The sequence below is a fragment of the Homo sapiens genome, chromosome 4 (genome assembly GCF_000001405.40).
Source record: "Homo sapiens chromosome 4, GRCh38.p14 Primary Assembly".
In the NCBI taxonomy this organism is placed as follows: Eukaryota; Metazoa; Chordata; class Mammalia; order Primates; family Hominidae; genus Homo; species Homo sapiens.
The window spans coordinates 30,833,480-30,849,081 of record NC_000004.12 but is presented as its reverse complement, the minus strand read 5'-3'; the positions used below and the strand labels follow the sequence as shown (position 1 = coordinate 30,849,081).

The 15,602-nt window shown below is 35.7% G+C and overlaps 1 protein-coding gene across 2 annotated transcripts in view, besides 1 other annotated feature; it reads right to left on the bottom strand.

Annotated features, from left to right (window-relative positions):
• Positions 1-15,602, bottom strand: part of PCDH7 (protocadherin 7) — a 426,432-nt gene that overhangs the window by 297,719 nt on the left and 113,111 nt on the right. The window lies entirely within an intron of this gene.
• Positions 11,430-11,990: an enhancer, noted in NCBI's record as "NANOG hESC enhancer chr4:30838714-30839274 (GRCh37/hg19 assembly coordinates)". NCBI's record gives its function as "activates a minimal SCP1, AML or CMV promoter by ChIP-STARR-seq in primed H9 embryonic stem cells {active_cell/tissue: H9 hESC(primed)}" and the evidence as "EXISTENCE:reporter gene assay evidence [ECO:0000049][PMID:30033119]".

Below are 15,602 nucleotides of genomic sequence, written 5' to 3'. Positions count from 1 at the left end.
ATAAGTGAATGTGTTTAGTTAGAATGGAATGTTAAAGGCCATAAGTGTTATTAACAAGGAAAAAATATTGAAGCATCTTCATGTTTAAATCTATAAAGAAACAAGCATGATTTCTCTAAAGGGTTCAACCTCAATAGTGTGCTTTTCCATTTTATAATTAGTAATAAGAATAGGTCTTGAGGAAAGAAAATAGTATTTCCAAAGCCCCACCGTCAGGGCCAGTTGATCACCTAGCTAGGATAGTACAATTTTAATTGCATACTTAGGTCATTGGCTGTAAGTACTGATAAGCTGTTACCATGAAACATCCTAAAATCAATAAAGAAAATGTTAGAAGGAGAGGAGAGTTGTAAATGGAAATGTTAAGAGATTCTTAACTATGCTGTCTTAAATGCTACTGTTGGAATACAAACTGAACTTTAAGCATGATTTGGCAGGACTATGAAAAGAAAGACCTCTGAACCACAGCACTTATTTTCAATTGTACTGAAAGCTAGCAGTCTTGTGTTTATGCCAGACTAATTTAGTCAAGAGTAAAAGTATTCATTTAGGCACACAGCCCTCATTGCATCTGTCCTCATCTGATAAATAAAAACTAAATGAAAAAGGAAGGAATGTTCTTTGCTATAGAAAATTTTTTAAATACTCAAAATCACCATTTAGTATGCCATGCTGTATGCCAGCACTGTGGTAAATACATATTAAAATTATAATTTTGCAGAGAATCACCTGATGACATATTACCTCAACTATTTTTGTTTTCCTACTGAATTACCTAATTGTTTACACAGAGTACCTTAAATTTTAAAATATATTTTTGTTTGCTACCTAGTCAAAGTTTAGCTACATGCAAAGTTTTAGGCTCTAGCAAAGATTTCAGATTGCCGATGCTATCTTCATTAAAACTATTTCAGAAAGAAGTTAGTCCAGAGAAGGGAATGTGATTGCACAACTGCATAAACTTGTGCTTATAGTGTATACAAATAATCTATTTATATGGGTAATCCATTTACATAAATAATCCAATCCATCTTCATATACATTAAAGACAGAGAAGGCATATATCAAGGCAATTCATTAAATATATATTAATAGCTGCAAAATGAAAAAGTTTAGACTTTTCTCTTGAAAATCGTTTTATAGTTAATAGTCTACCTTTATTCGTGTCAACTCTAAACCCTAGGTTCACACTGATATATTACTAGGTTTAGAGATTCAACAGTAGTACCAATATGAACAAAGTAATAAAGGAAGAGTGCTAGTGAGGAAAGAGCAAGGAAATAAGATAAGATTGAAAAGCTGTGGTAAAATATATAATTCTCTAAAATGAAATAAAAATCATACTGCAATTTGTTTATAACACTTTACATTATTAAAATCCACTATAAAATTAACTTAAAATTATGATTTCAGCAAAAGTCAACTAAAAATTTCTATCATTCTTTTTTAAAAAAAAGTTTCACTAAACTATCTATCTTATGTATGAAAAAATTCCATGTTCACTTGGTTGGCTGAAGAAGTAATAATTTAACTGTATACTATTCACATTGCATTGTGCCTTTGTCTATGTGAAGGCAAACAAACATTTTGGCAAGTCAGACATTAATGCATGTGGATGTGGGCAACAGTTCCTTCACAGGACAGCTGGGTGAGTCCTGCAAAGACGTTTCAGCCAAATGTTTATTCTAAAGCCTTCTGGTGTGAAGCACAAAGGGAGGCCTGCAACACAACTAGTTTGAATCAGCCCTCTAATGCAGAAAGCTAACACTACTCATAGTGGATTCTCACTCACACATTCCTTGAGCTACAGGGTGTAAATCTGCATCTGTCTTCTGTCAATCCACCACATAAAAAAGAGGTAAAAGCACAAAATCTGATAGTAGCATTATAAATTATGAATAAAGTTAAAACCTTTTTTAAAAAAATGCATTCTTTTTTTTTTACTTATTTATTTATTTATTGACAAGATCTCACTCTGTTGCCTAGGCTGGAGTACAGTGGTATGATCATAGCTCACTGCATCCTTGACCTCCTGGGCTCAAGTGCTCCTCCCACCTCAGCCTCCCAGGTAGCTGGAACTTCTTGAACATGCCACCATGCCCAGCTAATTTTTAATTTCTTGTAGAAATGAGGTCTTGTCATGTTGCCCAGGCTGGTCTCCAACTTCTGGCCTCAAGCAATCCTTCTGTCTCGGCCTTCCAAAATGCTGAGATTATAGTCATGAGCCACTGCCCCTGGCTGCATCCTGTCTGTTAAAAGCCTGATTTCTACACATAGAACTGGAGGCTAAACATACCTGGACATATGCATAGCAAATATTTTGAACAACAATAAAATGTAACTGCATATTTACCTTAGAAACAATAGTTCTCAACAGGCAATTCTTTTTAGTTGATATTTGACAATGTCTGGAAATACTTTTGATCCTCACAACTTGGGTGGCACTATTGGAACCTAATAAGTAGACACCAAGGATGCTGTTAAACACTTTATCCTGCACAGGACAGCTACCCACAAGTAATAATTGTCTTAGTCCATTTTGTGTTACTATAACATAATACCACAGACCGGGCAGTTTATTTAAAAAAAAAAAAAACTCACAGTTCTGGAGTCTGGAAAGTATAACATCAAGTTGCCAGCATCTGGTGCGGGCCTTCTTGCTGTGTCTTCCCATGAAAGGAAGAAGAAGGGTAAGAGAGTACAAGAGAGGGGGAGCAAGGAGGCCAGATTCATCCTTTTATCAGAAATCCACTATTCTAATAACTAATCCACTGCCTCCTGTGATAGCAACATGAATCCATTCATGAGGGCAATGCCCTCATGACCTAATCACCTCTTAAAGGCCTCAACTATCAACACTGTTGCATTGAACTTTGGGGACACATTCAAACCGTAGCAAGAATTGTCTGATCCAAAATATCAATAGTGCCAACATTGGGAAACCCTGGTATAGATATATTCAGACCATGTTTTAGTTATAGCTATCACTATAAGTAAAATTTTAATGTATGGATAAATAGTGTAGCTGCTCATTAGACTACCATTATTACCATTAGACTACCATTATTAGACTACCAATAATTCCAAGATGAAAATTCAGTTTCAAAAATTCAAAATTTCTTAAGCACTTTTTACATAGTATTGAGTTAATCAATTTCTAGTTTCACAGCATTCAAATAAGAATAGAGAGGCCAAGTGTGGTGGTTTACACCTGTAATCCCAACACTTTGGGAGGCAGCTGCAGGAGGATCACTTGAGGTCAGGAGTTCAAGACCAGCCTGGGCAATGTAATGTTACTCTGTCTCTAAAAGTTTTTAAAATTAACCTGGTGGCACACACTTGTAGTCTCAGCTACTTGGGAGGCTAAGGAGTGAGGATGGCTTGAGTCCAGGAGTTTGAGTTTGTAGTGAGCTGTGACTGCACCACTGCATACTCCAGCCTGGATGACAGAAGTAGACCTTGTCTTCAAAAAGACAAAGAGAGAATACACAGTAAACCATCCTATTTCCTATTGCGTTGTAACTTTACACCAAATTTACACCAACTTAAAAACATGTGTTTTTAAGTTTCAAGCACACCACAATGTAAGTGGTATAATTCCATAACAAATTCACATAATATTTAGATGTATTATAAGGTTGGGTTGGTTTTACTAGAACTGGAACTTCAACTCCACAAGTTAAAACATATAAATGCATACTAAGCAAATTTCCTACAAATTTTCCAAGTTATGCTTCCATATCAAAATAAACATCTCACACTAACATTAGAAATAAATGTAAGAGAGAATATTTCCATCAAATACAACATCTGAAAAGGCTAAAACCTCCTGTTAAAAATACCAATGTCCTTTTAATGTGTTTCACCTTTTCAAACCACTGTGTAATAAGACCCTCAAATTAAGTAGATTGAATTTTAGCTTAGATAAACTAATAGCACAATTAGAGCACCGCATAATTCACCATTACTGCTCCAAAGGAAATCACTTAAGTATTTAAGCTCTTTAGAATAACTTCACTGATAAAGGAATGACAAAACTCCCCTGAAGATTAGTGGTTTTGGTGTCAGTGGAAGGGGAAAGAAGGAAAAGAAAACTAAAACCAAAACAAAACTCCCTTCTTATTCAAAGATGCACTTTTGATGGACAAAATCATACACAGATTTTCAAAGACTTCTGGTGTATTGCTCACCTCCGTCCCCCTCAAAATGTAGAAAAGAGATGGCATGGCTAGCCCACCTGATTTTAACCCTGTGGAATGTAATTAGAAGGGTTAAACCTTAGTGATCACATACATTAATCTGCTCTCTTTCCAATATCTACCACAGCCCCTCAAGTTTATTTCATTAATATGCAGATTGCAGTATGCTCAAATTCCTTTTGAAACAAAGATGGCTATATCTACAGCAAAACATATACATGTTTGTAAATAATGTGGTTTGTGTGAATAATTGATTTGGAGGAGGAGATTTACGATTATTTCTTTCCATAAATTTTTTCTAACCACCTTAACTCTGTACCTACCTTAGAAATGACTATAGAAGCTGTTCCTTGAAAAAGCTAGAAAAGCTCCAAGTATGAAAAAGAAAGCAGGCAACAGAAGTATGTGGAAGTCGATACTAACTTAGAATCCACAGAGTTCACAGAGGATTGACTTAAAAAGCAAATATCTGAAGAGCTAATTTTTCTGGTAATTATAGCTAAGTATACAAGAAAAAAATTTAAATTGCTGATTATACTATTTGTTATTTCCACAGTGACAATTTTGCAATTTTGCAATGATAAGATGAGTTTTTATTTGTTTGTTTAGTAACATTACATGACACAGGAAAACTCTTAGTTTGGGATCGTATTGTTGATGCTTACTTCCTATATATTTATTTAACAGGAGTTAACAGAAACATCTGCATGCCACATACAAGAACATAGTGCTTGTGAAGCATCCACAGGTAGCAGGTAGCAATAACCTCAGAATAAGCCACTTATGTAAATAATCTGACATTCTCAACTTTTCAGCTAAGAAACTCCCTGGACGCTGGAAGCAAGAGAACCATACAGTGCAAGTAATTTGTAATAGGAAACAGAATTTGATTGTCAAGATCATGACATTTGCTCCTTGTTACTATGACTTTTTTTTCTTTTATTTTTTATTTTTATTTTATTTTTTTACCAGTGAAACCCACAGAGAAATCATCACTGTGGATGTACTCCTGAGGTTTTGAAAGAATTTTAAATGCCTAGGCACAGTGAAGTCATTTATGTCTGTAAGAGAAAGTGCAGTCCATGTAAACTTAAATAGATTTTCGTACTGATAAGAAGAGGCCATCCAAATCTTGATGAAAAGGTAAATTGCAATCTCAGCCCAAATGTACCACAAAAAAAAATCTAGGTAGTGCAAGAGCAAGTTTGTTATTTAAAAGTGTTAAAATTAGTTCAGATAGATGTTTGGTTTTTTGTTTGCTTTATGTCTAATAGCAAACACACTGACAAAGTAAAGACAGAAATCAGAAAATGTGACAGACTTTGCAAGTAATCGCTACATCCTCAACTGGAAACATTATGTCTATTTTCTTTAAAGTTCTATATTCCAGGCCAGGCGGAGTGGCTCACGCCTGTAATCCCAGCACTTTGGGAGGCCAAGGTGGGCAGATTACTTGAGGTAGAGAGTTCAAGACCAGCCTGGCCAACATGGCGAAACCCTGTCTCTACTAATAACTGAAAAATTAGCAGGGCGCACAACTGTAGTCCCAGCTACTCCAGCGGCAGAGGCAGGAGAATCACTTGAGTCCGGGAGGTGGAGATTACAATGAGCCCAGATTGCACCACTGCACTCCACCCTGGGCAACAGAGTGAGACTCTGCCTGTAAATAAATAAATAAATAATAAAGTTCTATATTCGAAAGATGGAATGTGAAGAAGTGTCCAAAAAAAAGATTCGTAGAAATAAGATAAAATATATAGCTCAACTGACACTTATAAACTGTTCCCTAACTATGCTCAAATTATAAAAAAAAAAAAAAAAGTCATTTGTTTATTCAATAACATTGAGGCCCTACCATATGCCGGTAGTAATTGCTAGGGTTGCGGCATTGCATAAGACAGACGCTGTTTCTTCTCTTATAGAATGATAAGCAGGACTTGATGGAAAACAATAGAATAAGTAGACAAATATCAGAGAGTAGTAAGCACTACTGTGAGCAAAATAAAAGAGTGCTATAAAAATTACTGCAGGTACTCTATCCAACGTGCCCCCTGCTGCTGTCCCTCTCGTGGTTCCTCCTCCATATAACCTTCACAGTGGTCTGTTAAACCGTAAATCTTATCTTGTAGCTTCCCTGCTAAAGTTCTTTCAATGCCTCCTACAGAATATAAGCTAATACCTATGGTGTTCCAGATCCTTCACAACCTGCCTTCCCCACCTGTTCACATTCCAACCTCACCTTCCACACTAAGTGTAATCATATCACATCATGTATAACTTTCATCATTAATTCACACATCCATCCAATCCATCCACTCACTGAATACAGTATTTATTGAGATACCTATATGTTCTGGGGATATAATAATGCATATAAATATTTTTGGTCCTTTCCACTATAAGCACTTAAAATGTGGTGTAGAAGACAGATACTAATCCAGTTCCATGAGACTGCCAATTTCAAATGTGAAAAGTGCTTCAAAAGAGAACATGATATCAATAAAATTCATAAAAAGATATGAACCCCAGAGAAAATGATGACTGGGCATTTATTCAAATTTATCTTACTATGTTCCAGTTATGTATTTCTATGCATTCGGTTAATTTGTGTGCTCCTTAATAAGTTATTTCTGGGTGCCCAACCCCATATACAGAGCACCATATAAAATATTACAAGTAATAAAGAAATTATTTCCAATAAATTTATACCTCTGCCTATCATATTGTAGATAGCTGGAACTGATACTAAGAGCAGAGGTGGAAGACTTGAGCCCAGATTTTATTAATGTCAAATATGTTTTCCACATCAGATTCTCCTCTCATCCTCATACCCAGCTCATGGGACCAACGGTCTTTGTCTTTCTTCCTTCCACTTTCTCTGAAATTATGTTCTCAGACTCAACATTCCTAAAAAAATATATAATATTAACCTGCTGACACCTATTCTAGTGGTAAGGGTCTTAAATGTATAAACCAGAGGATTATCTGTCTCAATGGACAACTCAGGAGAATATTAAATTTGATTTTCAGTTTTTAGGGTGGTAACATCCCCTTTGTAACTACACTATCCCCAGATATTAGCCAAGATGCACTGGAAATTATAAGGAGACAAAGATAAGTCAGGGTTAGATAACCCTGACCTTGCCCAGCATAGTACTTGTTTATATCCTTATATTCTAGGGTATATGTGTTATTTTACATTTTCACATATACAGGGGGGTAACTCCAAACCCACATTTACAGGGCAAACATTCAAGCTACCACCTATTTCCATCTATTTGTGCTTAATGCTTAAGGCTGAAAATGTTTCAAAGAGATCACAAAATCACATCACGTCAGAAAAACAAGTTTCTTAGAATGTCTGGAGGGTAATGCTTTAGATAGATTAAACTAAAACATCATATCAAAGAAGTTGCTGGACTGCAAAACATAATGTTCTTTTTAACTGAAAAGATAGAGCACAGAACTACAGAACAAGAATGGCAGAGATATTTAATTTTTTAATGTCTAAACAATTTAGTTCCTTGAACTCATTATATCAAGATGAAATTTGAGAAATCATTTCCCCTATAAAAACCTCCGGAAAAATATATTACTAGGAAGCAAATTGTGAAGTCTTAAGGTAAAATAAGTGACTTTTTTTCATTGTCTTTCTTTGTGACTGTCTTAATCTAAGGTTATTATCTTGAAAAGAACCAAATTATACTGAAAAATGAAGGTTTCTTTCTTCAATTTAATTCTGTTTCTTTTACAGAGTACATTAGAACTATGAAAAAGTATTTTTAGGCAGGTGCAGTGCTTCGAGATATATATATCAAGATCAGTTGCATTTATTTAAATTCCATAGTCTTACGTTTTAAGTGTATTTTTTAGTTGTCATTTAAAATGCTTTTGCAAAAGAATCGGAATTCCCAAAAACTGGGTCCTTATGCATGGCAGTGTTTCCTTGAATATGAGAAAGCAAACTCTTGGTTTTGCAGAAAAAAAAAAAGGGCCAAAGAAATTATATGAGAGCAACTGTACGTCCTTTTACAGCTAGAAGTTGGCTTTACACATTCCACGACTCATAAATAAACAGAAGAGTTCTGTGAACTATATGCAGATGGCTGGGTCTACACTGGGAGGCTTTTGTAATGACTTTGGTTTGCTTCCCTGTTTTGCCATCTCTTAAAATATCTGCAAAAAAAATTTTGTTCTGCTCCTCAGAAATAGGACAAGTAGAATCCTGTAACTTGAGAATTTGCCCTCTGCGTAGTTGGGGCTTTATAAAGCTTGGAGAAATCCATTTTTTTTCTCATTATTGTTTCTATAAAAATATCTACCCCCACAACTATCATAAAAATGCTTTATGTTTTAAATATTTATTGTTTTATTTTTAAAGGATAATACAATAACGGAAGTATGAGATAGATGAAGCTGCAAGGTGGTCAAGGGACGTAATAAGGCAAAGAGGGGAAAAATCCCACAAACCACATAAAGGAAGCGATGAGATCAGCCACTTAAGTAAGCGAGTTTAAGGTTACCACACTGGCACTGAGCTAAGGCATTCCTGCCAAGTCCAAATGAGAAAAGAAGTGGAAAGAATAAGGACATCCGACAGAGCAAGGCAGGGAGACAAGGCACCAAAGTCAAGTGGAAATGCTAAGACAGCAGTTTTGTGTCTTTTTTTTCTCCTACCTGATTATGGCACAGAAATCCTAGCAGGCAGATAAGGACATTAGATTAAAAAAAAAATAACTGAAAAGAAATGCATACCAATATTTATTATCATTTCAGTGGTGCAAATATTTTGTTCAACTACCCCTACTCCTCCAAACAGTTACAAAACCACACACACACACACACACACACACTCATCATCATTGCTACTGTCGCACTAATCATTTGCTTAGCTAATCATAAAGCCTCTTTCTCAACAGCAAAAGCCTAAGGGCTTTGGCAATGGAAAAAGTATTGGCATTTCTCTGATGTATATTCAAAAACCCATATTACAATTCTTAATTTAGCATGCATGAGTCAGCAATAGATATACTGTATCTTTAAAAAGACATGAAGGTTTCCAGTCAAGCCTTTTAAAGCTTTACAAATAACATTTCAAGAGGGTTGAGAATATAGACTAAGATAGCAGATGGCTTTTAGTACAATACTGCTCCAGGATCCTTTGATTTTATTACTTTTGCTTTTGATGGTGCTCTTTTCTGGTTTGTTTTGATGACTTTGTGGCCTAATGGACTGAAATCAGACAGTGAAGCTGAAAACCCTTAAGTCCTAATGACATAGAGTGACTTATTGGGTGACCTGGGGTAAGTGTTACATTTCTCTCATCACAGGTTCTATGGCAAAAAATAAAAATTACCGTGACCCCCATAAGGATGGGCCTAGGATGCCAATAATTATTATTCAACTTGCATAATACGAAATCATACTTGCTGCCACTTATTATTTCCATGAGCCAGACACTATTCCAGGTATTTAGCATATTTTGCAGCTTACACACAATAGCTATATAAAAACTATCGTTACTTCTGTTTTACATATGAAGAAATTAGGCCCAAGAAATTTGAGGACTGAACTTAAGTCAGCTTGACTACAAGTCCCCTTCTCATTCCTTTTGGCTATATTATCTCTACTAATGAATAATGATAATTCAGGTCCAAAATACTTAGTAATTATTAATTGGTTATGTACACACATATATATAGAGAGAGTATACTACATAATACATAGCAATTATTATATATAGCAATTGTGATTATTATATATACTACATATAACATAGATATATACTGTATATTTAATAATTATTAATTGGAGAAACAATATTATAAATTCAGGATGCCCTTTCATACTAGTGCTCTATTGTTACTTGATTTTACTCAGTCTCTGCCTACTAATGTAATACTTCAAAGTAAATACCTTAAAAAAAGAAGGATGGAAGGAAGGAAGGTAGGAAGAAAGTAGGGAGATGCTTTTCTCCCTATAGTCCATAAATTAGTTAGATTTTTCAACATGTGGATGAGTTGATTTCTAAGAAACGTTGGCCCCTGATCTGAGGGTATAGTCTTGGATGCTAGACTTTCTGCATTTAGTGGTTCTCAGTTGAACTATTTTCCCTGTAAATCACTGTTCTGCCACAGAAAATAAGATCCACAGTTCTTTCCACTTCCAGGATGTGCATAGAGAGAACCAATCTGAATCTTCACTAAAGAAAAAAAATACAAAGACGGAAAAAAAAGAAAAAGAATTCTTGGGCTGCCTGAGCTGCTCTAGCAAAGCCAGGGACTGGCTTCTTAATTGAGTGCTGTTTTTCTAGATAAGCTTTCTGATAGATCACTTCCACGTGGCTTAATGCATTGTCTATGTTTATTTTAAAAGGGGGAAAAAAAACCCTTTAAAATGTGTTTGAGAAACATTGATAAGTTAAGAACGAGGCAAGGGATTTGACTGGAATGATTACAGCCCCTTCTGAATGCTAAGGTGTCAAGAAAAGGCCTAATTTAAGTACATCTCCCAAGAGTTCATTCCAGAAAAGGAAGGATCTAGTCATTGAGTTAAAATAAAAAAAAAATGTATATCAAATTCCTAATTCCAGTGCCTGGGGAGAACCACATGCCTATGGTTTCTTTAAAAAATGTTTTATTTTTCATTTCATTTTGCCTGCCATTCATTCAGCAAGGGCCTCAAAGCACATTAGAACATTAATTTATAATATTTATGCATATGTAGCAGAATTCCCTAAGATTTTAAGGACTCACTTGCCAATGGAAAATAGGCCATATGGAGCACCCAGGCATTCTGTACACAACTGAAGTCGATTATCTCTCCTAGCCCCCAGCCCCAGCATGATGAAGAAGATATTTCGCTACAATATTTTGGAACTTAACATGCTCTTGTGGATTGCTAATGCCAAATTGGAACAGAATTGGTCTCATATAAGACATTAATGGATTCAAACACAATAATGTTATATATATATATATATAAAATATACATAATAAATATATATTTTTAAAATAATTGATTATATATATAAAATCAATTATTTTTAGAAATGTACTCTGTTTAGTGTCTTATATTAGAGTTTCATTTATAGAGACATTAATAATAGAGCGAGAGTTAATTTGTAAAATAAAGGTTTCCAGCTGGCAAGTCTGTTGCCTTCAACTTACAAAACATTGACTTTTCAGAGAATTCATGAAACTTTGTCGGTACGTAAAGGAAAAATTTATCAAACCTTTGCGTTTATTAACTCAAAAACAAATGAAACAGACAATGCCCATCCTCCCTCAAACACTCTACATACTCCCCTCTATTCTCGTTTTTTTTTCTCTATTTTCTATTTTGTTTTTAATTTCCTTCCTTATTTGTAACATAACCAACCTCTTAGGTGTCACAGTATGCCATTTTTTTTTTTTAATGACACAACACTCTCCTAGATAAAGTGGTAGGCAATTATCTCTGGAATGCTGCAGAAAAGAATTCCTTAAGCCTCTGGCTAGTTACAGAAGGGCTTACATTAATCATTCTCTCTCTGCATGCTTGTCTCCTCTTAGTAGTGTCCAATGTCAAATCAGACAGTCCATGCAGGGCCCTGGATAGAACGTTAAAAGGGCATTACCACACACTGCAGGTGGCCAGCAGGAACAAAGCCCTTAGCCCGGAGTAATTTTAATAATTTCTGCACAGGTCTAATCCAGTGCTTTGGTGCATATTTGCTCCTGAAATCTTTGTTACACTACTTATCATACAATCATTGATTCAATGTAAAAAAAAAATTAAAAAGACACAAGATGCAGTTCTTACACTCTTAACCACTCTAGACTTCGTGTATCTGTCATGTGGTACTCTCTTTTCAAAAATACTGACAACCAAAAGCTGGTTTCTCAATGTTCCATGTTTTATATGTGTCTCAAGGAGGAGCCTCAACTGTCCTACTGTGCTGGCCAGTACGGTTTAAAGTGAGTCGGTGATAATGAACTCTAAGGCACTCGGCTTGGCTGTTGAAATAAAACAATGAGTTACTCTGACAGTCATTCCAGGTCACAAGAATGTAAATGGGTGTATTCGTGGTGGGATTTTCATCTCTTGTGTTGGAAATCTGCAGATATTATAATCCTATTTTGGAATGATCTGAACCAGCTAGAGTGAGATTTTTTTTTTCATTATGATAACCTCCAGGCTACAGGTTTTTATCATAACATTATTTTACTCCTAGATCTCCTGGTCATGTTTTCAAAACTATTCCTCTTTGCAATAAAACTTTCAGGAGAGAAATTTAAATTTTCATAAGCCACAGTAAATGTTGCTATGAAAAAATTTGCCAACATATACAATCTCCTGGGCAGCATTGGTTATTCTTTATAAAGCAACTTAGGGGATTTCCATAAAATGATAATACCTTCTCCTACACTTTCTATTTATTCCACACTGCTTTATTTTAAACTATGTTTTTTCTTGCCAAAGACAACATTCAGATTGTTAGTTACGTGGTTTTCTATTTCATATGGTCACTTCCTCCTGTGGATCCTTGCAGCTATTCTCTCACAGCACTTAATACATTTGGTCTTGTATGCAAACATTTTATTCCCATTGTCACTAGTAAACTGTGCACTCTGTAAGGGTATAGACTACATCTTATTTATCTTGTTTATTTCTGTGCCACTCATAATGCCTTATAAATAATAAATGCTCAATAACATAATGAAATGAATCAAATAAGTCAGTACTTACAACATCTTCATGTTTTGCCCTCTCCATTAGCTATCCAAGTCAACCAAATATGGATTACATAACATGGTGAATTAAAGCTGAAAATAAATTAGCACTGCTAACATCTTCAATCTCTTTGTTTTGGTCCAACAAGTATCTGAATCACCAGATATGAATTATCTAAGGTAAGGTAGTAAAGTAGGGATTAAAATAATATAGCAGTGTTTCATGCTAAATAAGGCTTCTTTTTCATATGTTGTGATTTTATTGCCTATGTCTTATTTGGAACAATACTTAGTGCAAGAAAAACACCTTAATTTAATGCCTCCCTCCTCCTCCTCCCATTTTAAAAAATGTTCAGCATGCATTCATATTTATGGATCCATTTAGTAATTACATCATCTCTGGAAGTAGGTAGAAGGGATATTATTAGCCCCACTTTACAGATGGTGAAATATACATAATGGCTGTGAGCGGCCCAAAGTTACATGTTTTCAACTGATAGAATCATCATTAAAATGTCCAAGCCCTGGGCTTGTGCTCCTACTATGCCCTCTCTTCCAGTCTTTGCCATACAGTCTCTCTGATGAGACCTCCATATGATTGGATCTCTCAGCTCAGCAGTCCCCAGCCTTTTTGGCATCAGGGACCCGGTTTCCTGGAAGACAATTTTTCCTCGAACGAAGGCTGGTGGGTGGGAGATGGCTTTTGGATGAAGCTCTTTTACCTCAGATCATCAGGCATTAGTTAGATTCTCAGAAAGACCATGCCACCTAGATCCTTCACATGAGCAGTTCACAATAGGTTTCACACTCCTGTGAAAATCTAATGCCACCGCTCGTCTGGCAGGAGACAGAGCTCAGGCAGTAATGCTCGCTTGCCTGTGCTCACCTCCTGCTGTGTGGCCCGGTTACTAACAGGCCATGAACCTGGACCGGTTCGTGGCCCGGGGGTTGGGATCCCTGTCTCAATCTGCTGACTCTGCGCTCCCGGGAATGACTTTATTATTCTTACTAATACAATTATTACGAATTTTCCCTCATACTGCCTAGCATATGGCACACAGCAAACCCCAGAAGATGTGCATTAAATTTGTTTAAGGTGTAACAACCGACAAATTCAGCTACCTCTCCCATCCTTCTGGTTTATTATTATATATGGCTCTCCTATTCTCACTTTATTGCATACACATGTATTTACATTTATAGCAATTTTATTGATGAATATATATGTGTGTGTGTGTATATATATACACATATATATATATATAACACCAATGTTTATAAAGTTCAAATTTCTTCAAGATAAATTAGGACAGTGGAAAAATATTGCTTTGTGTCATTTTATCAGATCTCTCCAGAAAATTTTGCTGTATAAATCTAATACATAATAAATAACATACCTTGAACAAGGGAACATCCTCAGACATATGACTATGCAAAGGGAAAAAGCTGATTTTTGCTTGTTTACACAAATGTCTTGGAAGAGACTCAGGTTTTTTTTTTTTTTACTTTCATCTCTATTAGTTGAAAACTGAAATGAACATTTTTACCAAAGACCATCAAACATAATTCTGTTCAACAAGCACTTACTGAAAGCTAACCATGTACCAGACAGTGTGTCATAGTTGGGGAACAGACACATTTAAGAAGACATTATCTCAAATAAGCAGGAGAGTGAAGTGGTTCAAAGCACCTCAGTTTAAAATCCTGGCTCTCTAATGCAACAGCCGTGTGACGTTGGCAAGTTAACCCTTCTATGCCTCAATTTCCTCTTCTACAAAATGTTGATAATAATTGTATCTGATATATTGCTTTATCGTGATGAGCAGGAGCAATGATACAATTTATGAGGCCTCGTGCAAAAGGAAAAAGCAGGGCCCTTTGTTCAAAAATTATTAAGAATTTCAAGATGGTAACAGCAAACCATTAAACCAAGTGGGGATCTTTCTCAGTGCAAGGTCCTGTGTGACTTTCTAGGCCAGTGCCCTAGAAGTGGGCCCTGGTGATAAGTAAATGATTACTACCTGTGAAGCAGTTGGAAAAGTGCCTGGCACATGGTGTTATATGTTTTAGCTTTTGTTATCAAAGAGCTTATGACTTCACTGAACACGTAAGAAATATAAAGGAAAATGGCACATTTTTAAAGATTCTGGGTAGATCTAAATTTCTAATGACCTCTAAAGTTTGCAACAATGTTCTTAGCTACACTGGATTTGGGATCCTATCAGCAAAATGCACCACCTCTTACTTATTTGACAGACAACTCTCTTGTCCTTCCTTCATACAAAGTGTTCAGAATGTTCTTTCCGTCATCTTTATACAACATTTATATGACATTTTCCATTTGATTATCTGCGTAATTTCTGTCTCATCATGGCACATAGTGCATGTAACAACGCAGTTTCTTAAGCGATTCAAGTTCTGATCTCTCTCGTGTTCAGATGTAAAGTACTTTCCTTGTATTGTTAATTTTCTACATTTTCTCCCTGATATACAATCCTTAGCTGCACCTTTGTGCAGAATAAAGACTCTCCTCCCAAAGATGCCCACATCCTTACCCATGTACCCTATGAATATACTATGTTATGTGGTGGCAGGGGGTGGGGATGGGACTAAGACGACAGCTGGAATTAAGGATGCTAACCAGATGATTTTAAAATAGAAGATTATCTTGGTTTATCTAAGTGGGCCA